A 23,616-nucleotide genomic window follows, 5' to 3' on the forward strand; every position below is an offset into this window, starting at 1 on the left:
CATAGGTAGGAGACGGTGGTCAGATGCCCCAGGTCTTCTGGCTTATGCTCTAGTTCACCAGGAGACCCTCTGGGCCCTGGTTGGTACCCACCTCTGTGTGATCACTTTGGAATTAGGAGGCACACTTGCCTGGAGGACAGCCAGAGCCAGCAGGCAGCTCTGTCAATGAAACAGAAGCTTCTACTGAGACAAAACTAAACTGTCTCCTGGCCTTGCCCCTTGAGGTCAGACCAAACCTCCTTATGTCTGAAGACAGTTGTCCTCACTCCTCTGGGTCATTAACCACTTGGAAAAGTGATGTCCTGAAATCATCACCCCCTGGTTTGGTCCCATTTGCTACTGGCTCTATGAAAATATTTCTCTTGGGCACCTCCCACCTCACAGCTTCTTTTACCTTGAAGGTCAGTGGGGGACAAGGCGAGGGGGGCCTCCCTAGAGCTGGACAATATATTGATAGCATTTAGGATCACATCAGATTTTTTTATTCCAAGAATCAGGCTGTGCTTATGAGATTCAGCTCACAACCCTGGGCTAAATCGGTGGGAATTAGACAGACAGGCACAGGAGGCTCAGAAGGAAACAGTAACATTCCAGGGTGACACAGCCAGCAAGAAGCAGGCTGTAGTGAAACCCTGGGCCTTTGCCTCCAAGCCTCCTCCCACCACAGGGGCTCTGGACCTCTGCACTCTGGTTAGGGGGCTTCTTTCACAAGGGCTGGTGGGAGAGTTATGCTGCAGTGGAGGGGTGTGGCTGTTTGCTCTGATCTGGTAGGACATGCTTTAAGTGATGCTGGCTCCTCACAGCCCAGTTCTCCTGGGATGTCACATGTCCAGAATCCCTTCCTGCAATGTGCAGGACTAACAGCTGAAGCCCCAGCCCCAGGTTAGTGGAGATGTCCTCTTGCCCAGCTCTCAACTTCACCTACTTCCTGCAGGGGAAGCTCTGCAGGTCTTGGGATGGAGGTCCTTAAGGACTCTGGGTCCCAGGCACCTGTGCAGATGCACAAGCCTGAGGTTTCCATTGGAGCAAATGGTCCTGGAAAGTGGTCTCCCCTTCCCACTTTCTCTCTTTCTCTTTCAGCATAAATGCCCAACTTTCTTTTATTCCCAAGTGTAAAATTTGGCTCCTAAAAAGCCACTGCCTTCGGAGGCCAAGGCGAGTGGATCACTTGAGGTCAGAAGTTAGAGACCAGCCTGGCCAACATGATGAAACCCTGTCTCTACTGAAAATACAAAAGTTAGCCAGGCGTGGTGGCTGGTGCCTGTACTCCCAGCTACCTGGGAGGCTGAGGCAGGAGATTTGCTTGAACCCAGGAGACAGAGGTTGCAGTGAGCTGAGATCATGCTATTGTGCTCCAGCCTGGGTGACAGAGTGAGACCCTGACTCGAAAAAAAAAAGCCACTTCCCACTTGTGCATGACCTATGACCTCAAGCACCAGCCACAAGGCACTCCTTACAGGAGTACCCACAGGAGATTTCTCACTTCTCTGCCTTAGGTGATCCCACTTGAGAGGAGGCCCAAGCTTCTGTCTCCCCAGAGGTGAACATCTGTTGGATATTAAGGAATCTCCTTGAGGATGGGCCAGGGTGGGGTGCGCTGGGTGAGCACCAGGTACTCTTAGCTCCAGGCATCACACTTCTCCCATGCCACCTGCTCCCTGCGGCCTCGTGTATTCGAGAGGGGAGTAGGATATGGATTAGAATCACCTGGAGAGATTTTTAAAGTGATGCCTAAGGTCCATCCCCATATATTCAAATTCCTTATTGATCTTGGGTGGCAGACACCACGCTATGAAACAGGCATCGCTAGACACAGCTTCTGTGACTGCAAGCAATTCACTCCTGACTTCTGGAGGTGAAAGGCTGTGGTGGAAATCTCAGAGCCTGCTGGAAGTAGCAAGTCCTGCAGAAAGCAGTTGCGGAAGAGAGGTTTCAGGAGCCAGGGGGAAAAAAGTGCTCATAGTGAAGCTCTGAGTTAGAGAGGAAGCAAGGCAAGGATTATACTCAAATGTCCCCAAACAGCCAGGCATAAGTCAGGGCAACTAGGAAAGATAGGGGTCTGAAGTTTGGGCCAACAGGATCCAAAAAGGCTAGACCCAAAGCATCCAGAACATGGCTTTCAAGTTGTCAACTGCAAGTCAACTGGATGAGGAAAGGTCTGGCTTGATTCAAAGTTGATCGGTGCTTTTTCCTGGAATGGGTCCTCCCCACCCCAGACAGTTCAGTGCACCTGACCAGGACAAGGGGCAATCACTGGACCTTGGTTCTGGCAGGCAGGCAGCCTTGGCAGGTAGATGGTTTAGAAATTGGGAAGGAGGAGAAAAAATGGGGACTAGTGAAAAATCCCACTGGTTAGGAAGAAGGCCTGGAGATGTCTCTAAAGACTGAATAGGGTCATGAGGAGGAAGACCAGGTTTGGGTAGCAAGTCTCCCCACTCTCTCTTAAGAGGTAGGGAAAGACTTTACTGAGGGCCAGATGCCAGGCCAGGGAGCTTGGGATGAAGAATTCCTTGAGTTTCCATCTTTCTGCAAGTTTGGCTGATCCTAAGCCCTCTGGGGTCTGGACAGCAAGCTCCACATGCTCGTCCCTCCCTACAAAGAGTAGAACCTTCTTTGGGGCCCAGGATTTTATACTGTGCAGCAACGATTTCACCCTCCACTTCTCTGTGAGTGCTTCCTATGTTGCATATGTGAAACCCACCCACAGGTTAGAAGTGCAGAGGCCTGGCTGGGTGCAGTGGCTCATGCCTGTAATCCTAGCACTTTGGGAGGCCGAGGCGGGTGGATCACAAGGTCTAGAGATTGAGACCATCCTGGGCAACATGGCGAAACCCCATCTCTACTAAAAATATAAAAATTAGCTGGGCGTGGTGGCGCACACCTGTAGTTCCAGCTACTCTGGAGGCTGAGGCAGGAGAATTGCTTGAACCCGGGAGGCAGAGGTTGCAGTGAGCCGAGATCACACCACTGCACTCCAGCCTGGGTGACAGAGTGAGACGCCATCTCAAAAAAAAAAAAAAAAAAAAAAAAAAAGTGCAGAGGCCTTACTATGGGCTTGTAAGATCCGGTTGACAGTTTTAGAACAATTCCTTATAATTAGAGACTGGGTGGTAGGGAACAGGGGTGGGTGAGCCCAGGGGTATGGTGGGAGATGGACAGATCTATTTTTTTCCTTCAACTAGGCTGAGCAGAGAAGATCCAGATAAATGCAGCCCTTCATTCAAGGCTACACTTTCTGATGGCTATTACATTTGAACTCCAAGAGGTAAACTCTGTTTCACTTCTTCTGCAAAGCCTTTTCAAAGCTTTTCCATAAAACTGTAGCTCAACACTAAGTAAGTTGTCCCTTCACTGAATCCTATAGCACAGTAGTTCTTAAATTTGAGCATCAGCCAAGCGCAGTGGTCCACGCCTATAATCCCAGAACTCTGAGGCCAAGGTGGAGGATTGCTTGAGCCCAGGAGTTTGAAACCAGCCTGGAAAACACAGGGAGACCCCGCCTCTCTACAAAATTAAAAAATATATAAAAATTTTGAGCATGTATTAGAATCACCCAGAGGGCAGAGAGAGTATGGAGCACCCCCACAGTATAGTAGGTCTGGGCTGGAGCCCAAAGATTTGCATTCCTAACAAGTTCACAGGTTATACCAATGCTGCAGGTCTGGAACCATGCTTTGAGAACCACAGCTGTTAACATATATGCTCTACCTTATAATTTCATCTCTTATTTGTATTGTCTAGAAATAGTCCTGAATTATTCTTAGCGTATCAGTCTGTCTTCTCGACCAGATTTCAATTCCTGCAGTGGCAGAGGTTGTATATATTTTCTACCACATCAATTAGCATTATTGGACACATAGTCTACTAAGTACTTATACACTGGGAAGAGCTTCAGAGAACTTGAATTCTTCAAGGAGACAGGGATCAACTATGGTTAATTATAGGATTTCCACATTTTGCAAAAGATCATCTAATTTTTCCTCATCATTCATATTTGCAGAGAAAAGTCTTCATTTCCTTGAGCAATATCCTAATCTCATTAAAGAAACACTCCAGTCTTGATTTAGGAAAAAAAGATTCATTCCTTCATCCTTCCAAATAAGGTACAGTACAACTCAATAACAATGCACATTACTGAAAAACACAATTGCGTCTTATATTGCTCACTACTCTTTAAGTATAATTCAGATATTAAGGAAAATAACTGCTAATCACATTAACACATTACAGAAATCAAAATTAACTTACCACACAAAATAAATTAAAACATTAAATATTAACCTTTTCAGTGCAACATATACAGACATCAGAGTAAGGAGTTCTAAAAAAAAGCATCAGGTTTATTATAATAAAGATAATGAAAAGTTGACCATTTTAGTAAATTATTAAGACTAAGAAGAGGAGTTGCTTTTTCAGTACTCTCTCTCTCTCTGTGTGAACCACTAGATCTTTCAGAAAGCCTGGTAAATCAATGGCTAGAGAGAACAGGTCTTATGTTAGAACATTTAAAAATATACATGTTTGTCTTACTTCTGCAATGTGTTCTTGGTTTTGGGCATTTGAGTCATTCCTCCTTCTGTGACTGGGCAGGTTGGAAGAGATCAAAGCCCAGAACCAACTAGAGGGCAGGGGTCTCCTGAGCAGTGTTAGAGCCTCATTAGTCCATCCCGGCCAAATTGACTGAAAAAGCAACTGGTGACCCATGTGCCCTCGAAAACCTGGCTTGAAGATAACAGGCAGTTTTCTGTACCTGCAAAACACAATCCCTTGAGAAGCTCCAGAAGCACAAATTCTCCTCCCTTACCAGTGTGGGTGGGTGAGTGGCAATCCCATCTTTTTCTCCTTTCTCAGGGAAAAGAACTCTAGGGCCATTCTGCCCATCTCTCCTGCGGGGACACAATGGCCAGCCCATCCCTGGCTTGGTTCCACGTGTGTCCAGCCGGGGCCCTGTCTTCCAGATCAGGGTTGGCTGCTGTCTATCTTTCCATGTAGAAGAAAACATTTCCTGTCAGGATGCTTAAAAAAAGTCACAGCCTGTAGAGCAGTGGGAAAAATCCAGGCTCCATAAGAGTATTGGAGGCCTTTTAAAAAATGTTTGTTATTTTTTTAAATGGGGGCTTTTCATTGTCTCCTGAGCCATTGGAAACAGCGATGCTCCCCACTGCCAGGTGTGTGGCAGCTTACCAGGTCAGGATGTTAAATGATTCTCTAATTGTAGTGAACAATTCATTTTCTAAAGGGCAAGGAAACACAGGGAGCTTGCAGAGATGGATTAGAAGATGCATTTTTAACTTGAAATGGAGTATTTTTGCAGCTAACCAAAGACTACCATTGCCATTAAATGGCAGAGGGATCCAATGCTTATCAGTCATTTGATTTCTAGAAGAAAAATCCCCAAATAAGCCAGGCTGTTCTATCCTGAGGCATGGACAATGGTCCAACCAGGCTTGCATTGATGCAGCCTCTTTTTCAGACCTGCTGGTTTCCAAAGGACTGACTTGGAAGGCACTTCTAGGGAGGCGTATATGTGAGGCCTCTCACTGCATGTGTGTTACAGGCATAAGGATGAGGGCACTGGCAGGTGTGACTTGCTGGACCTAGGAACTAGAACATTCACAGACACTAAATCTCAAGTCTTCGCAGGGAACCTCTGCTTCCGCCATCTGTCCAGCCTCATTCCTACGCCTCTGCAAAGTCTCTTGGATGCTAACTACTGATTGATAGAGGTCTAAAAACCAGTGTCCGTTGATTGGTCTCTAAGCAGGATGCTACAGTCAAGCCTCAACCCACATATCTGGCCCAAGGGATGTAAACTTGAACTTATTTTAGTAATTTAAAAACCTGGAGCTGTGTCAACTACGTTGCTAGGGGGTCAGCTCTGAACAGATCCAAGTGCTTCAGGTGTGGCATTGTTAAATAAGAGTGCCAAAAATGAAGACACGGGTCATAGAATTGTCTGAATTATAAAAAAAAATAAAGAGAAAATTCATAGAAATTGTTCTTCCAGACCAAGGAAGAAGAATTAGGGGAAGACAAAATTCTCTGAAAATTTCAAGCCAATTTAACATATTTTAAATGTACCTTTCACGATGTAATAAGCTAGGTGCACTTAAGAGTTAATACATAGAAATCTTTCACTTTTCAGATATTAGTAGCATTTCCTCACATAAGGAGTTTATATATTATTTCTTCATTACTCTGTTTCCAAATTTTAATGAAAATTCCTAGGGATGAGCTATCCACTATGTATTTGAAGGGACCCACTGTTTCTCACAGGCAGGCCCCATGGGTCAGATGGACCCAGATGCTCAGGGGAACAATTGCTCCTTCTCTTGAGGGGAAAGGAAGACCCACATAGTGGAGGTGACTTGTTAGAGTTTTTGTTAATAAAGCCGGCATCCTGAATGGAAATGAGGAAAAAAAAATTACTGGAATAGTTTTCCTAGTGCTCGAAAATAAATAGCAAAGTTAAACTTCTCCTTTTAAAAATAAAGCAACAAACCAACCAAGCAACAAAATGGAAAATAAATGACTGGTCCCCCTTTCATGGATTTGGCCTGAAATGCCTATGGCTCGTGGCTAATGTTCTATTTCTAAACATACTTACCGAGGGCTCACGAGGAAGTGAACCCATTTAATCACTGAGCAGTACAATATGTATTGGGTTTATCCTGTGTAGACACACACACTCTTCCTCTCTCCCCAACAGAGGGGACAGATCCCTGCTGATGGATTTGCTAAGTTTTCTCCCAGAACGTATTGAGGCATTTACCGGCTTTGTGGCTTCAATGGCACCATTTCTGAACCCCTACCTTTATTCCTACCAGTAACCCAGCCTCTGGTTCCATCTCCGCACCCTGGAAGACTTTTCCCAAGCCTTAGCTGTCTTGAAGAGGCCAGACATTTCTAATCAGTATAGCTTTTCAGTCAGCAACACATACATCATTAATGTAGAAGTCTGAAGGGGTTTTATACTTTTTACATTGACTTAAGAGATTAAAAATAAAACCATTATCCATCTAATAAATAAGACATCATCTCCAAGGGTGGCGATAGCTTGGGATGGTCTTCAATGTCATGTGTCCATGGAAGATGTTGGGCTGGTTGAGGGTCTCGTGGTTAGAGGATACAGCTTCTCTTAAAGCTAGGGTCTTCATGTGATATTAAACAGTTTCCCCTCCTTCACTTTCTTCCCCAGTAGGCAAATGACAGAAAACAATAACTATAGAAATCTCCTGTGTTGGGCAGAATTCTGTTGTGGGGAGGTGGCCCATTAAAAAGAAATATATAGCCTGGAATCCATGGCTGGCAGAAGACAACTGCACACATGTGGACTCAGACACCAACTGCTGCACACACCTCACCTAGGTGAACAGGAGTCCGTCTCTTTGCAGTTCTTTTTTAACAAGTCTTGAAATCGTGGTCCGCTGATTTCTTCTCTAGGTCACACTGAATAACCCCAAGCAGACGGAGTTCTTGACAGAGTTTTGAAGGCCCACAAAAGGCTGCACAGGTGATTACAGGCCAAGTAGGAAGGTCTGTGGCACACCCAGGCATCTCTGGCAGTGCTGTCCTGAAGAAGCCTTTCTTTATTGATCTGCCACAGTCCACCTGGCCAAACTCCTCCTCTGGGCTCTTCAGACCACTGGCAGGAAGGAAAAACAGGTTAAGCACTGTGGGCCACACCCTGGCCACGTTGGGAAAATAAGCTTAGGAAAGAGACTTGGAGATGGCAGAGCCAATGTCACCAAGTTCTCTCGGGCAGTTAGGCCCGAGTCCAAATTCTGCTGGTTCAGTCTCAGGGACCGCAACCTCTGACCTAGTACTTTCAGTGCCAAAGGAAGCTAGAGAGACTGATTGAAAGTGAGTGAGTGAGTGAGTGATAGCAGAAGGAAGGCAGATGGGGGGGAGCGGGGGGATGCCCCCTGTTGTGAGGGTCTCATTTTAATCTGGCCTGCAGTCAGATCCTGTAAGGGGTGGCTTGGTGGGCAGCCCTAGTCCAGGGCTCTGGTGGCAGAAAGGCTTCCCCTGAGGCCATACAAGAATGGACCCATTTATTTTTCAATGGCTGGGCCCTGAGGGTATCCTCTGTGTCTGTCGTGGTGAGGCAGCATGGACCGTCCTCAGTTCCTGAGTTCAGCTTAGCCTGGACATGTCTCTAGGTCCTTGCCATGGTTCTTCTAGAGGTGCTCACAGGTGAGTACCACTGGTTCACCCATCCTTTAGGCCCAGCAGGCCTGACAGGTGCTATATGAGGTTGTGATATGCACCATCTGAGGGAGAGGGACTTCAGCCCAGGTTGCCATCTCTAAAGGCCAGACCCATCCCCAGGCTTAGAGCTAACTTCTTAAATGTGGGTAGAGAAGAAGTGACATTAACAAGAAACTTACTCCACCCCAAATGACTCTGTTAGGTTCAGACAAATGCTACAGAATCTATTACAAATTTTCTTAAAAGATTAAAAACATTTTTCTATTGGTGCTAAAAGAAAAAATAAAAATATTTACCTTCATTAGCTCAATAGATTAGCCCAAGGTAGCTGAAAGGAGATGTTGAGAGGGGGCTTTAGAGGCCCTGGTTCTCATCCTCACTCCCCCACTGATTCCCAGTGGGACCCAAGCAGGCTGTCATCAGACTCAGTTTACCCACATCGCTCATGAGCCATCCTCTTCCTAAGACCACTGTAAGGCTGAATGGATTTGCATCCTCAAGAGCTGTGGCTCCTAAATCTCAAGTGCCGCTCCCGCACTCTCTGTGTGCTCCCTTACTGTGCACGATGACTATGGTTATTGAAATAAAGAACAAACACATATGTTCTTGGGGCTTCAGCTCCCTCCAGATGACCATGAGCTCTAATGAATGCACATGTGTCCAGCCTCCCAGAAGCCTTCCTCCCTACCCTCTCCATGGACCCTGGAACTTCTGAACGCCAACTGTTTACTAGGGAAGGACACCTCTGGGTGGATTCGCTTTAATGACTGTCTCTTGACCCACTATGTCCTCAAGAAGAACTTTACGATGGGCTCTCTTGGTCAAAATTGAATCCCTGAAAAGCTGGCCGGTGTGAGACTTTTCCAGCCCTGTTTGGATGAAGGACTCTTCACCTCCACAAGCACAGAGCCACTGATGCTCCGAGGAGGCTCCTGAGGTGCAAGCTGGGCCCCACATCCTGATGTCTTCATGGATGTTGGCGAAAATATCCAGGAAACAAGGTAAACTTAATGAAGATCATAGGATCTAAGGGTTTTAAGGTCATTAGAGACCTTTCATAGGCCAAATTCCTCCTTTTACAGATGAAAAAGGGGAAGTGACTTTCTCAAGGGAAAGAGAATGAACATCTCTTGAGTGCCTACAATTGGGTGATACACTATACTAGGTATTTTATATCAGTACTCCTCCAATTTGCACATCTTTTTAAGAATAAGAAAACCGAGGGTAAGCCGGGCACAGTGGCTCATGCCTGTAATCCCAGCACTTTGGGAGGCCGAGGCAGGCAGATCACCTGAGGTCAGGAGTTTGAGACCAGCCTGGCCAATACTGCGAAACCCCGTCTCTACTAAAAATACAAAAATTTTCTGGGCGTGGTGGTGGGCAGCCTGTAATCCCAGCTACTCGAGAGGCTGAGGCAGGAGAATCACTTGAAACTGGGAGGTGGAGATTGCAGTGAGCCGAGATCACGCCATTGCACTCCAGCCTGGGTGATAGAGTAAGACTCCGTCTCAAAAAACAAAACAAAACAACAAAACAAAAAAACTCTGAGGCTGTGAGAGGTGAGTAACTTGTCAAAGGTCCCACAGCCACCAGCCAGGATGTAAGGGGTCCCTACTAAGTAAAAGGCACCTATGAATAAACTAAACCTGACTTGGTAGAATGAAACAGTCTCTTCCTTTTCTCCTCTCTTCCTGCTTCATACTCCAGGAACTTCTGCCCTGACTTGGAGAAGGTGGTCGTTTTCTCCACCCAATAGTGTCTCCCACCAGAGAAGAGTCTCCTTACCTGTTTCTGAGTGGCAGCAAGCGGTTCTTCCCTTCAGGAGGGCGCTGGGCTTCTCGTGCCGGCAGATGAGGGCCCGGCACCACTCACAGTGTTTTCGGACCTGGCAGCAGCTGCAAAGACACAGAGGACCCAGTCTGGGCAGGAGCCTGGTAGGAGGGCCAGGGTGGTACAGCATCTGCCCTAGGGGCCTGCTGGGCAGCTCCAGCTCTAAACCAGCTCCAAACCAGCTCCCCATGGGGGCTTCTAGAGGGACAGGCACCATAGGGGGCTGAGGGCATTGTAGGGCAGTGGTTTTTTGGGGCAGATGCTGGCCAACAACAAAAGCATCTGTTGGCTACCCTAAAGTATTTGCTCTGTTTCTGCAAGCTGACCTGGCTCCAGCTTCCCCAGCTGTCAGAGAGAACTGGTCCTCCACTCGGCTTTCTTGATAAAGAACCAGGTGGGTAATTCCACAAGTGTAATGGCCTCAGAATTGGGACAAAGGACTGGGATAAAGTGGCCACCTCCAGCTGGCAGGGCTGTGAGGGTTTAGGAAGAGGTTATTCATCTGGTATTGCCAGTAGCAGAACAAGGAACTTGGATGGCTGAATTGACCCATGGAAAAAAATGGAAGAATGAGTTATGGATCTCAATGGCTTTGAATCCTGCTTTCAGGACTAAAATTCTCTAGTTTTGGAACATCTACCCTCTCTGTAAACCTGTGTGACCCGGAGTCCTGAGGCATCAGGGTTATAAAGGCTCCTGCCTCCCTCTGTGGGCAGGAATGGAGAGTTTTCAGACTTTGCATGAAAAAAAAAAAGCCCCAAAAGAACAGAAAAGAAAGCACTGAGTGAGAGATGAGTTCCCCACAGACGCTACCAGCCATTTCCCTTGGGCTATCGTGGAGAACTTTGTTTCCACTCATTCTAACCCTAATTCGTATATAATTTATGTATCCCTGGGCTAGGGTTGGAGTTAGGAGAAATTTCCTAAGGTGAGCCAGGTGGCAGAGATGAAGAAATAAGCCTGTTGCTGGGCTTCTCTCTTGGTATCTGGTGGGCATTTCACGATTCCCATCCCAGCCCCTGTCTTGGCACTGTCCTGCAGTGAGAAGCTGCAAAGGTTACTGGAGCCCCTGAATCTTTGGACAGCAGGGCTAAGGAGGAGGCTCTGAGACCTTCCTGCCCAAGCTGCTTATGTTACAGGTGAAAACCGGGAGCCCAGAGCAGTGTGCCTGGGCACGAGGCCCTTCTGAGTTGCAGAGTCTGGGCTGGAAACAGTACATCCCATGCCAGGGGGCTCTAAAGGCCTTGGTTCCAGAGCCATCAATGACTACTTTCTCACAGTCAGCCAGCCAGGTGGACTTGTCCTTGTCACTTCCCAGATAGGAGCATCCCCGGGCAATGGGATCAAGGCCTCTAGATCCCTCCAGCATGGGACAAGCTGGTCCCAACTTGGACCCTGCAACTCAGGAGGGCCCTAAGCCCAGGAAGCCAGCAGCCTGGCAGGAGTGAGAGCTTAGTCTCTGGCTCATGGATTCTGAACTTGGTCTCTGGCAGGGAGACCAAGGCTGGGAAGGGACACAGGAGTTGGGACTGGCCGCCTCCCTGGAAATGAGAGATGCTGTCTAGGCACCTAGATCATTCCTGTTTCCAGACAATCTGCCAAAATTAGCTCTTAGGTCCCTCTGGGGAGGCCTGTGTGGGCCACCAGTCTTGTTCCTAAGTCCCTGTGACCCTCCTGGCCATAGACACAGGACAATGGAAGGATGGGGCAGCACACACAGCTACTGGCCATGAGAAGCAAGGCTGGCAGCCCACTAGCTTGCTCCTGCTCCTCGAGGAGGGCCCTTCTGAGTGACAGAGCCTGGGCTGTGGCCCAGTCTGAACCAGAGCTACTTGTCTTCTCCCAGCAAACATGTTTTTCCAAGGCCCCTGGAAGCAGAATGGATACTGCTTGGTGGGGAGGGAAAGGCCAGCCCAGCTCAGACCTCAAACCTCACCACTCAGTGCTGCCTTGGTCCAGGAGAAGGATGTGAGCAGGTTGTGGCTACTGTCAACAAGCTGGGGCTCTAACGGGTGCCTCACTGTTACCAGAACCAGGGCCATGTGTTTCAGATGTCTCAATAGCCACAAACCAAAGGGACAGTTTGTTTATCTGTCCAAATCTTAGGCAACCTTGGAGGGTGTAAGTCTGGCTTCTTGCATCGACATGTAGCTACTGACCACAACCTTGCCAGAGGGGCCCATCCACTGACTGTCTCCACCATGAGTTAACCTACACTGAATTGAATGGCAGCCTTTAACTGTCCTGTGACTTCTTTGTGCATATCCAATTAGGTATATTAGGTTGGTGCAAAAGTAATTGTGGTTTTGGCCTTAAAAAGTAATGGTGAAAACTGCAATTACTTTTGCACCAACCTAATAAATCCCCTAAGACTCAGACTTTAGATATTTCCAGGGAATAAATCTGGCATAGTTCCAAATGCTAGGAATATTGCACTGTATTCCCAGGGTCTCTGACCCTGCACAGCAGTCCAGTCAGGAGATGTGGGCAAGCAAATGGGGCCAGGACACACCTGAAAAGGTCTCTCCTGGTCTAGGCCCCAGGGAGGCTTCCTGGAAGATACAACACAGCAACTGAGTTTTGGAGGATGAGGAGGGGCAGAGAAGTGGACAAAGAGGAAGGGCTGTGCAGAATGATGGTCATCAGCCTGTAACAGCAACAATGGCCCTCGACATGTATTTGCAAAGTGACTTCTGCAGAGAGGAAGTACTTCTGGTGCTGATGGAAGGAGGCTAGGAGCTGTCTCTAGTCCTCTCTGGAGCACCTGCCCATGTCATCACTATTCTGAAGACTCCAACAACCGTGGAAAGAACGAGCATGCCTTTGGTTCTGCACTGGCCTCCACAGTGCACCAACCCCCCAGCTGGGGATCCGCCCAGGATGCATGAGGCTTTCATGCAGCTTGGCTGCCACGCCATGCCAACAGTCATCAAAGTAGCATTTAGCTTTCCTGACAGCACTCAGACATCCCAGAAATAAGCTGTGCTGAGGTGGCCCTGTTATCTGGATATACTGCGGATGTCCCTGGTAGGGGAGGTGGGCAGGGGACCTGGCCTTAGGGGCAGCAAGTACTCACTGTATCAGCACACATGTGATGATAAGGACAGCCAGGGCCACGATGGAGACCACCACCAAGGCGGTGATGGCCTGCTTCTTCTGGCTGGCAGCCACCACGGCCAGGAGGTCCGCATGCTCACAGCGTGCACCAACGTACCCAGAATGGCAGCTGGGGAAGAAAGGAACGTCAGTGCACTCTCCTGACAAAAGGTCTTGTTACCCTAGCTCTCCAGGGAGGGCTTTCCTGGAGGGACCCAGAGCCTGCAGGTAAAGCCCAAAGGGGCCCTGCCAGCTTTTGCAATTGGAGGGAAAGGTGTCAGCAAAATGCCTGTTTCCCTGTCGCAGGCACCGCTGCTTATGTGGAGAAGGGAAGGGGAATCTAATCATCCTTATCATCTGCGGAGGCAAGCTACGGCTGAAGCAATCCATGACTATTGTGACTGTGCCAAATCCTGGAGGAATAAAGGCAGCACATGTGTTCATGACATAAGCCTCATGTTGGCAGTTCATAAAAAATCCAGGTTAGTTTTAAACCAAATGTGGTTTTCAGACTTTCTGGTGATGAGAAAGAAAACACCTGAAACCAGTGGAGACATTGGCTTGTGGTTTGCCTTTTTATCTTCTTCAAGTTTAGTTAGTTCTTCAAGTATTTACCAGGTTACTCAGCATGACTACCTGGTCATTGTAGGACTGGAGAAATCACTACTCTCCTGTGAACTCTGGTGTCCTCCTATCCATCAATACCTGGCCCACCTCCACCCAGGCTTAGTAAAGGCACAAGCAAGGTCGTGTCTGAATGTGCGTGTAGCCTGTACAGTGTGGTGCTAATACCAGGTGATGTAATTCCTGGTATTGCTACCATTCAGAGTCAGTCCTGGGCATCAAGATTTTTAAAGCTCCCAGCTGATTCCAGTGGGCAGGGGAGGGCGAGTCATTCAGAGGTTCTTTGGTATTAATCTTTCAATCACGGCCCCCTGCTATGCCCAGATGGGTCTCAAAAGTGCTTCGGGATGTGCCCTGGCCATAAGGATGGGATGGTCATTTTCTTTTACAGGCATCCCCTCACCCTGAGCCACTAATCCCCCAAGCATGTGATTCTTCTTAATAAAAGATACTTAGCTTAGACACTGGTCCCTTTGTTACTTCGTTACTCCCTTTGTATAGAGTAACATTCTTATCGTCAATAGAAATCTAAGATCGCCACTTCCTTTGCCAGGCGGGACTTCTTTTTTTTTTTTTTGAGATGGAGTCTCACTCTTGTGCCCAGCCTGGAGTGCAGTGGCGGGATCTCGGCTCACTGCAACCTCCGTCTCCTGAGTTCAAGTGGTTCTCCTGCCTCAGCCTCCCGAGTAGCTGGGATTACAGGCACATGCCACCATGCCTGGCTAATTTTTGTATTTTTAGTAGAGACGGGGTTTCACCATGTTGGCCACGCTGGTCTCGAGCTCTTGACCTCAGGTGATCCACCCACCTCGGCCTCCCAAAGTGCTGGGATTATAGGCGTGAATCACAGTGCCCGGCCTGCTGGTGAGGACTTCTTAACAGAGCAGCCCCATATCATATGCTAGATTTAAAGTTTTGTTTAGTTTTGTTTTTCCCCCAGACATGGCAGTGATAGCTAAACTTTTCTAAAGAGTTTATCTTTTGATTAATTAGCTAGCCTCTAACCTTCGCTTTTAGATTAAAAGGCCCTTGAAGACTAGGCACACTGAGAGGGGATCACAGAACTCTGAATAAGAACACTGACTTTCAACGGCTCAGGGGCTATGGGACAGGGGCAGGGTTTTTTTTGTTTGTTTGCTTGCTTTGATTTTAATAACAAAATTACATAAAGGCAAAGGTCAAGAAACAGCTCTCCCTGCAGGCACTGGCCCTTTCCTATGAGGCGGAGGCGAAGAGTGGGCTAGACTCCAGGCTGAGAGGTGATAAGCAACAGGCTTAGGCAGTGCATAAATCTAAGCCATCCATATCTCAAGAAAATCCTGCAAAGGGTCCCTCCCTCTAGCTCCTCCTCTCCTGCACCCAGATGGCTCTCCAACCTTCCAGATGGGGTCCCTGAATCGTGCACTTCCTCTGTGATATCTAGCCCTCTCTCCTGCAGGGCCCTAATCCACCCCTGTACTTTATCTCCCACCCACCTAGGTTCCAGCCAATCCAAGTTGTTGCCACTCCCCACCCCCAGCCCAGTGTTAAATCCACACACTGCACCTAGCACAGTTCCCAGCATGTGGGGACTCAGGACACACCTGCAGAATGAATGAACAACTACCCTCCATTGTGCATCTCAACTCCGGCTACCTTTTCCACCTGGAATATCATTCCTCACTCTCCTCCTCAGGCTCCATCCCAAGGACCACATTCTCCAGAAGGATGTAATTTACAGACTCGTTTACGTTCATTTTTGTCATCCATCCATCCATTCTTCCATAGCTCACTTGGATCTCCCTAACCTCTCCTCCCTGAACCCCCCAGGACTATGCCCACCTTTCTGACTGCTCTTCTCTGACCAGCTTCACTTCTGGTCCCAGCCTTCTTGCTCTTGCAGGGCAGGGCTTAGCTCTACAGAAACCTCCGGTGAACCACTGAACAGAATGGGGCCGGGGAGCCTGGGCTTTGGAATGGATTATCAGATTTGTAACCAGGAGTTGTGGACAAGCCAATGAGACTTCTATGCAAAGGGTTAGGGTTAGGGTTAGTGCTTCTTTCTCCCGGGGAAAGGTACCATAATGAGGATTTGCAGAGTCTTTTGTGAAAGTCTCAGCGTATAGGAAGGTGAGCAACCCATGACAATTTCACACAGCTTGAAACGTTTCTACTTCAACCAGCAGGCCCTGGGAAAGAGGGATTCTAGCACCTCACCTATTATTTGGCACTAAAAACACTGCGATTTAACACATCAATACTGGAGACCCCAATACATTTCATTTAAATAAAATAGTGGCAGCCAAGTGCTAATTACAACACATAACATTCACTGCAAGCATTAGGCTAAACTCCTACATGAATCATCTCTTTTAATCCCAGCAATCACAACTGACCTGTGAGGTTGCGACTATTATTTACCTTGTTTGACAGATGAAGAAACAAAAGCTTCTAGAGGTTTGGGAACTAACAATCTCACCCAGTAAGGCTACCTTTCTGGGTTAATGCAGACTGGTTTGGAAGATACCCTGGGCTAGTGATTTAGTGACAAACACAAATCTGATCAGGCACAAGAGATGGGCTACTGATTGTCCTGGAGCGAGGTCTCCTTGCTCAGTGTGGCAAGGGGCAAAGGTGCCCCCAGACAGTGCCGTCTTAATGCACCAAGGGAGATAACCCCCTGGGCTGGGACACACCTTGCTGACTTTCCATGCTTTTTCTACCAGAGGAACATTTGCCATTCATGCATGCTGGCCCCTGCAAATCAGCTCTGCTTTAAAACCGCCCCAGCAGGAGCCCCAGCCCCTTAGGAAAGTCTTCATGCCAACAAGAATGCCTATCACTCTAGTGTTAATAGCTGCAAACGCTCAACTCCCAGTCCCACACAGTGAGGGAACCCAACATGCTTCTGAGCGAACACTTCCCCAAGGTGGGAGGCACCTGGGTAACTGCCTCATCATTGGGACTCCAGGTCATGACCTAGAAGAGCTCCAAGAACAGTGCGTCTTAGCCCCAAGCAGCCCAGTGGGTCTCACCTACAGTTGGGACCTCCCCAATCAAAATCTCTCTGCAAATGGGGCCTGGGCATTTTAAAGAAAGGGCCAAAAGGTAATTCTGACACTGCCAGAGTTGAGAGCCACCATGAAGTTTTTAACAGAGAAACCAACGTTTCTCAACTGTGGCTGCCTATTGAAATTGCATGCAGAGCTTTCAAAAATCCTGATGTCCAGGCCACACCTTTAGATCAATTAAATCAGAATCTCTGGGAGTCAGTCCTGGGCATCAAGATTTTTAAAGCTCCTAGCTGATTCCAGTGGGCAGGGGAGGGCGATCCTTTCTCTTCCTAGTTGTAATAATGGAAATGCTTCTCAGCTGCTCTTTATGACGGAAAAAGAAAAAGGTTTGGTGACATACTTTTTTTAAAAAAAAAACTTCCCAAGCTTCTACTAATATTAGACTTAATTATGCTGATTATTTTAGGCACAAGTCACAGAAGGAGTGGGAAGAGTCACCTCACCTGGCTGCAAATGAATCACACTTGATCCAGCTGCTGTTCTCTCCTTTGCCTCAGGTAGGCGTTGGTTCTCACCTGGCTGCACATTCCACAGGGCTATGAGACAGTGGGTGCACTAGGACCAAGGGCACGTGTATTGGGCTCACACATTCTCAGCCTTTCAAGAACCAGATTCACCAAGTCCTATAACCTCTGTGCTCTGGGGGCTGGTGGGGAGAGGGCTGGAGTATGGTCAGCCCTACTTACATACTCCTTCCAGCAGGACCTCACAACATCCCTTGGCTGTGGTGATGGTGCCAACAGCGGCCACAATAGCAAACACTTGAGCTCATATGCTGTGCTGGGAACTGGGCTTGAATGTTCTCCAGTGCTGTCTAATAGAACTTCCCGTGATCATGACAGAGTCTATATCTGGGCAGATGAATACAGTAGCCACTAGCTACCCTGAGGTATTACATCCTTAAAATGTGGCTAGTGAGACTGAGAAACTAAATTTTAATCAATTAATTTAAGTAGTCCCACTACTTAAGAGTCCAGTGGCTCTTGTCATAGGCAGCAATTGCTCTCTATATATTATCATCCCTGGGTCCCCATTACAATCCTATGAAGTATTAGTATCCTCATTTTGTGCACAAAGAAACAGAGGCTTAAAGGGGCCAAGTCACTTGTATGGGAGACTCAGCTGGACTTTACCTCGGTCTGCCTGACCTCCCATCCATGCCTTTAACTGTGCTGTCCTCCTGCCTGGTGTGTGACCCCCACTCTGGGAGGACCTGCACTTTCTCCAGACCTGTGGATGGCAGTGATGTCATCCTTCTTAACCCTACCCCCACCACCTGCTGATGGATCTATGTAAGGGGGCTCGAGTACCAACAAGAAAACTGCCCCCAATCCTAATCTCTGGGGAGGCGCCACCTTGGTCACACAGGCAGCCAGTTATGAACTGATGGTGGTCAGGTCTCTTCGGGTGTTTAACTCTGTTCAGATTCCACTGGAAGGGTCTGTGGCCAGGGCCAGGTGGAATGTTTCCCTTGGCTGACAGGAATTTGCTTTCATACTTTGCTGTGGGAAAGTTGTCAGGGAGTTGGGTCACCGAGGAGCATTTGGGACAGGTGAGAAACTTCAAACTGGTTGCCAGGGGTAAACTTGTCACCTGGGTGTCTTCCTTCAACGGTTTTCCTTTGTTTGAAGGCTTCTGCAGGCAGCAGACCAATGGTGTGGGGAATCTGCCTCGGGGAAAAAGTGGTGAGAGTCCTAACCTTGCATTTCTATAGCTTTACTGTCTTTGCAAATTCTCTTCCCATTAGTTTTCTGATGTGGTTGGGACTAGGGGATTTATTAAAGGGAGCTGTAAAATACCATCTAGGGTTCACTTGAAGCATAAATATGTAAGGCTAGTTTTCACCACCTTTGGCAGTCTGTGACTAGTTATTTGTTTAAACTTTTTTTTCTTTCCTTCATTTTATAGCGTGAGATGTCATTTTAGGTTCTCTGGAAACCTAAAGACTGTTGTTCTTATGGAGGATGGAGTTTAAGACTTACGATATTTTAGAAAGTGCTCCCTCTCTCGAGACTAGAATCCTGGCTCCCTGTGGGTTTGCTTGATGAGGCCATGATAGATGGGGCCTGACCTCAGGGTATGTCAGGCTTATTGACCAGGATGTGTGTGTCAGCTTCCCAGGGCCGGGCAAGTCACAGGAGCAGGGACAGAGTGTTCTACTTTCTCTGCATGCACTCAAGAGTTTCTGGTCTAGTGGGAATTCATTAATTAGAACATTCTTTTGGGTACTGTAAATACAAAAAGGGATAAGGTGTGGTTCTGTCTTCCCAGAGCTCACAAGCCATCAGGGGGTAAGGAGTGCCGTCAGAGGGGTCTGCAGAGGACCCTGTCCCAGGGCTGAACACATGCAAGCCCCAAGGGGTCCCACGGATGGCAAAGTGAGCCAAGTGGCCTAGTGTAAGCAGAGCAGCAGGGCAACAGGTGACCAGGGACCAGTGTCATGTTGCTGTCGGGAATTTTGGGGAGAGGTGGAGAATGAAGGGCTGGAGAGCGCGAGCCCTATCTGGGGCGGCACACCTGAGTGAGTCCGAGCTGAGGGGCTGTGTTTGGAAGTTCAGGCCCGGTGTTGCCATTCTGCTTATTCAAGAGGAGCTGGATGTCTGCATGGAAATGTGAAATCTCCCTTCTAAAATGCTGACAACTGATTAAAGCCATCTAAGAACAGCGTGGCTCACTATGTGTTGCCATGTAAAGCATTTCTGCAGACTGAATACTGTCCCTGGGCCATCAAGATCCAGGGGGGAAACTGAGGTAAAGAGGTGTAATTGCTTGCATGGCCGTGCCTCCCCCAAGATGGTCAGCTTTTCCAAATGCGAGTGTGTCTCAGCTGTCTCTGTAGCCCCGCACTTGGCCCATAGGAAAAACTTGTTAAGAGTTTGTGGTCAGGGAACTGGGCTTGGGGATGACCCTGGCCTTTCTCAGGAGGAGGGTTAATTTGCAGGGGGAAAATGCCTGGAAGCAAAAGAGCTGAGTGGTTTGAGGTGAATTTTGCCAAGCAGAGGCACAGCACCCTCTGGGCAGCAGCTGGGAGCATGGGTTCTGGTGCTGGAATGATGGGACTGAACTCCACCTCTGCCGGTTACTAGCTCTGGGACTCTGGGCAAGTTGCTCAACTTCTCTGAACCCCAGCTTTCTCACTTATACAACAAGGGTAATAATCCCTACTTGAGAGGGGAGTTGTGAGGGATCCATGGTTGCGGTATGCAGAGTGCTGGGTACCATGCCTGCCATGAACTAAGCTTTTATTGAGCACTTACTATTATTATTAATAGTAACGTGTATGATGTGAATGTGGAGAGATGGCCAATCACCCTGATTAGCAAAGTGTAAGGGTGTGTGAATGTGATGGACAGTTCCCTTGGGCCAAGAGCAAGGCTTGGGACTGAGGGGAATGGGAGAGCAGTCACCCACCCCAGCGTTCAGAAGGCTTCTAACAGCTGAAGAGGGGGCTCTTCTGCCACACAGGTGGCTGTGGCTTGGCTTGCCTGGCTGCCAGCTCTTGGAAAATTTACACCAGCCCTGATCTGGTGGGGAGGGCACCTGAGGAAGAAAAACTGAGCTTCTGACTCACTTTGGGTCAGAACTTGGTAAAGACCTGCCCTTTTTCTCCAAAGAGGATTCTCTCTACTCATAGCCCAGTGCACAAGAGGCCCTGTATGCTTGATTCTGGGCCGAGCCCTGGACGTGGCTGGTGGGAGAGTACCTTCTGCCTGTTGTACAGGGAAGCTTTCTGATATCTGGGTCAAGAGGGCAAACTTCCTTCAGGGCCAGTGTTTTTCCACAATGACCAGGGCACTCATGAAAACAACCCCATCAGTCCCCCAGGGGCCCCTAGTATGTTAATTATTAATAAGAATGATAATCATGAATAATGACAGTGTCTATCATCATCATCATCGTGCTTTGTATTAACAGGGTGTGGAGGCCTGTCATCTGGAGGAGTTTCTTAGCCCTGCGGTGTTCCGAGGAGGAGGGTGGCCAGTGTGCCTCTCCTTCTTTCTCTCCAGGTGAGGGCTCAGAGGCACCCTGAGGGGCCTGCCCAGACTCACACAGCTGCACCTCAGACAGAGGAAAGCCCTGACCACACCGCCTACTGCAGCAGGCTCTCCTGGTCCCCAGGCTCCTGGGCTGATGCATCTGATGGCCTTAAGCATCATGGCTAAGAACTCAGCTTCAGGAGCCAAAGAGGCTGGCTTGAGTCCAGGCCCTGCTATGCGGGCTGGGTATAGCCTCTCTTTCTTCTTCATGGGGTCAGTATGATTAAATGAGTTAGCACACGGATTGTACTTCAAACAGTACTTGACATGAAGCCAAAACCTTAATAGGTGCCAGTTTTTATTAATGATTAGTATGAAACTGCCAATCCTCAACCATATTTTACCTACAAAAATGGCAATTTCATATGGATCCATGACTCTTAACTGGGGGGCAATTTTGCCCTGCAGAGGACATTTGACAATGTCTGGAGATATTTTTGATTGGCACGGCCAGGGATAGTAGTGCTATTGGCATCTAGTAGATAGAGGCCAGGGATACCGCTGACTTCCTTCAGTATACAGGTCAGTTTCCACAACAGAATGACCCAGCTCCAAATGTAATAGTGCCAAGGTTCAATATAGGTCCCCCTAATAGTATTCTATTATAGACAGACTGATTGTCTTTAAATATGTCTTTCTGAAACCCACATGGCTTCCATTGCCTAAAGAATAAAGACAGCTTTCAACAGGCTCTGGCCTCCACTTTGTCTCTAAGCTGGTCTCCTCTCTGTCTCCCTGGTGTAGCCACACTGATCTGCAGTAGCAGATCCCCTGAGCATGTGAGGCCTGGAACAACCTCTCTACTCCCCCTAACTGGTCTAACCCTAACACCTGCTCTGGGAAGCTTTCTTCGAGTGAATTTCTTCCCCAACCTGGCTGACTGTGGCAGTCGCTGTGGCTCTGAACTAATGTGATTCCCAGGTCCCACTCCTGGAGATTCTGATTCCGTAGGTCAGAGCAGAGTTCAGTAATACTTCGAGAAGCCCCCCAAGGAGGATGATGCTCAGCCAGGTGTGGAGACCACCATGCATGTCCTGCATCTTTATTTCTAAGTCGCTTCTGGTTCTGTTACCATTTATGTACACTAGCCCTTCACCTGCACTTCTGGCTTGTTTTATGAGCTGGATTGTGAAGATGCTAGAGGGCAGAGACCACATCTTAGAGACTTTGGCCACTCAAAGTTATCCATCCCAGTGCCTTGTGCTCCAGAAATTCTAAGTTGTGAATTAAATTTGAATCCAAGAATTTTCAGACTTTGCTAAACCCATGAGTGACCTGAGATGCTTGTTAAAAATGCAGGGCCCCAGGCTTGAACTTCCCGGGGTTCTGCCTCAGTGGCTGTGGGCTGGGGGCCTTGGAACCTGGATTTTTAGACATCTGGTTTTGAAAAAGGTGTCCCTCAGCCCCACTGTTCCAATCCTCTGACACATCTGGCTCCAGGGGTCTCGGAGCCTCTGGCAAGTCTTATGGAGGTAAATGCTCTTCTAATTGGATATTGGACTGACCCCAGCCCCAGATCTCCAGGAGAACAGGGGATACTTACACACATGCTGGCTTGTCCTCCTGCACCAAAAACCTGCAGGTTCCATGGAAGCAGAACTGAGTGTGGGAATCTGGGCAGTCATTAAAATGGGACACCACTGCTGCAGCCACGGGCGGGTCTGCTGGGGAGAGGAAAGATGCAGGGCTCAGATCCAGGAACAGCTGACATGCAAACCCCACACCTCCCACCCTACCAGTCAAGAAGGTGGAGCCCCTGATGGCTGGGACTTTGGGTTCTCACCTGGGGCACACCCTCCTCAGCTCTCACTTACTTTCTAAAGCCTAAGACAGGCCTAGAGCTCCTGTATAGCGTGCTTTCCAGCTTTTTGTTTTTGTAGACAGCAAAACAAATTTCCCCTCAAACTAACGTAATTCAAAGACAACAGAGCAATTTTACTATTTCAACACAAGAGCTACCTAATTTCACTTTTGCAAAGTGACAGTGATTTTTTTTTAGATAGCTGTCATAAGAATCTGTTTTGAAAGCAAGAGAATGGAAAGGTACAAAAGAATATTCTGTAACCATTAAATTGATGCAGAAGCAGAAGAGTTAATGATGCAAAAAGGTGCTTATGATATACAGTAAGTTAAGTAAATGGGTTTCCAGTATTGTCTGTATAGCGGTGGCTCACGCCTGTAATCCCAGCACTCTGGGAGGCCGAGGCAGACGGATCATGAGGTCAGGAGATCGAGACCATCCTGGCTAACACGGTGACACCCGTCTCTACTAAAAATACAAAAAATTAGCCGGGCGAGGTGACGGGCGACTGTAGTCCCAGCTACTTGGGAGGCTGAGGCAGGAGAATGGCGAGAACCCCGGGGGGCGGAGCCTGCAGTGAGCCGAGATTGTGCCACTGCACTCTGCACTCCAGCCTGGGCGACAGCAAGACTCTGTCTCAAAAAAAACCAAAAAAACAAACAAACAAAAAAACCAAAAAAACCCAACACAAATAGAAATTAGACATGAAGGAGTCTGGGAAGGACATACACTAAGATGGTAGCAGGGCTTCTCTTGGTAGGATTAGGAGTGATAAGGCTATAAAGATTACTTAGAGTCCCATTACTGGGTATATACCCAAAGGAATATAAATCATTCTATGATAAAGATACACACATGCGTCTGTTCGTGGCAGGCCTATTCACAATGGTAAAGACATGGAACCAACCCAAATGCCCATCAATGACAGACTGGGTAAAGAAAATGTAATACATATACACCATGG

The 23,616-nt window shown here is 48.0% G+C and overlaps 1 protein-coding gene across 4 annotated transcripts in view, besides 1 other annotated feature; it reads right to left on the reverse strand.

Annotated features, from left to right (window-relative positions):
* The window catches only part of TGFA (transforming growth factor alpha), a 106,543-nt gene continuing 86,989 nt past the window's right edge, over positions 4,063-23,616 (reverse strand). For 2 of the 4 annotated variants that reach the window (NM_001099691.3, NM_001308159.2), the window contains exons 3-6: positions 22,395-22,512; positions 13,118-13,267; positions 9,997-10,106; positions 4,063-7,645 (exon numbers count right to left, since the gene is read on the reverse strand). In NM_001099691.3, coding sequence (NP_001093161.1) covers positions 7,638-7,645; positions 9,997-10,106; positions 13,118-13,267; positions 22,395-22,512 — 386 coding nt within the window. In that variant the 3' untranslated portion in view covers positions 4,063-7,637. Of the gene's footprint in view, positions 7,646-9,996; positions 10,107-13,117; positions 13,268-22,394; positions 22,516-23,616 lie in introns of all 4 variants that reach the window. The other 2 variants (NM_003236.4, NM_001308158.2) reach the window with 1 other exon arrangement.
* Positions 12,715-13,215: an enhancer, noted in NCBI's record as "H3K4me1 hESC enhancer chr2:70683068-70683568 (GRCh37/hg19 assembly coordinates)". NCBI's record gives its function as "activates a minimal SCP1, AML or CMV promoter by ChIP-STARR-seq in naive H9 embryonic stem cells {active_cell/tissue: H9 hESC(naive)}" and the evidence as "EXISTENCE:reporter gene assay evidence [ECO:0000049][PMID:30033119]".

The sequence above is a fragment of the Homo sapiens genome, chromosome 2 (genome assembly GCF_000001405.40).
Source record: "Homo sapiens chromosome 2, GRCh38.p14 Primary Assembly".
Lineage (NCBI taxonomy): Eukaryota > Metazoa > Chordata > Mammalia > Primates > Hominidae > Homo > Homo sapiens.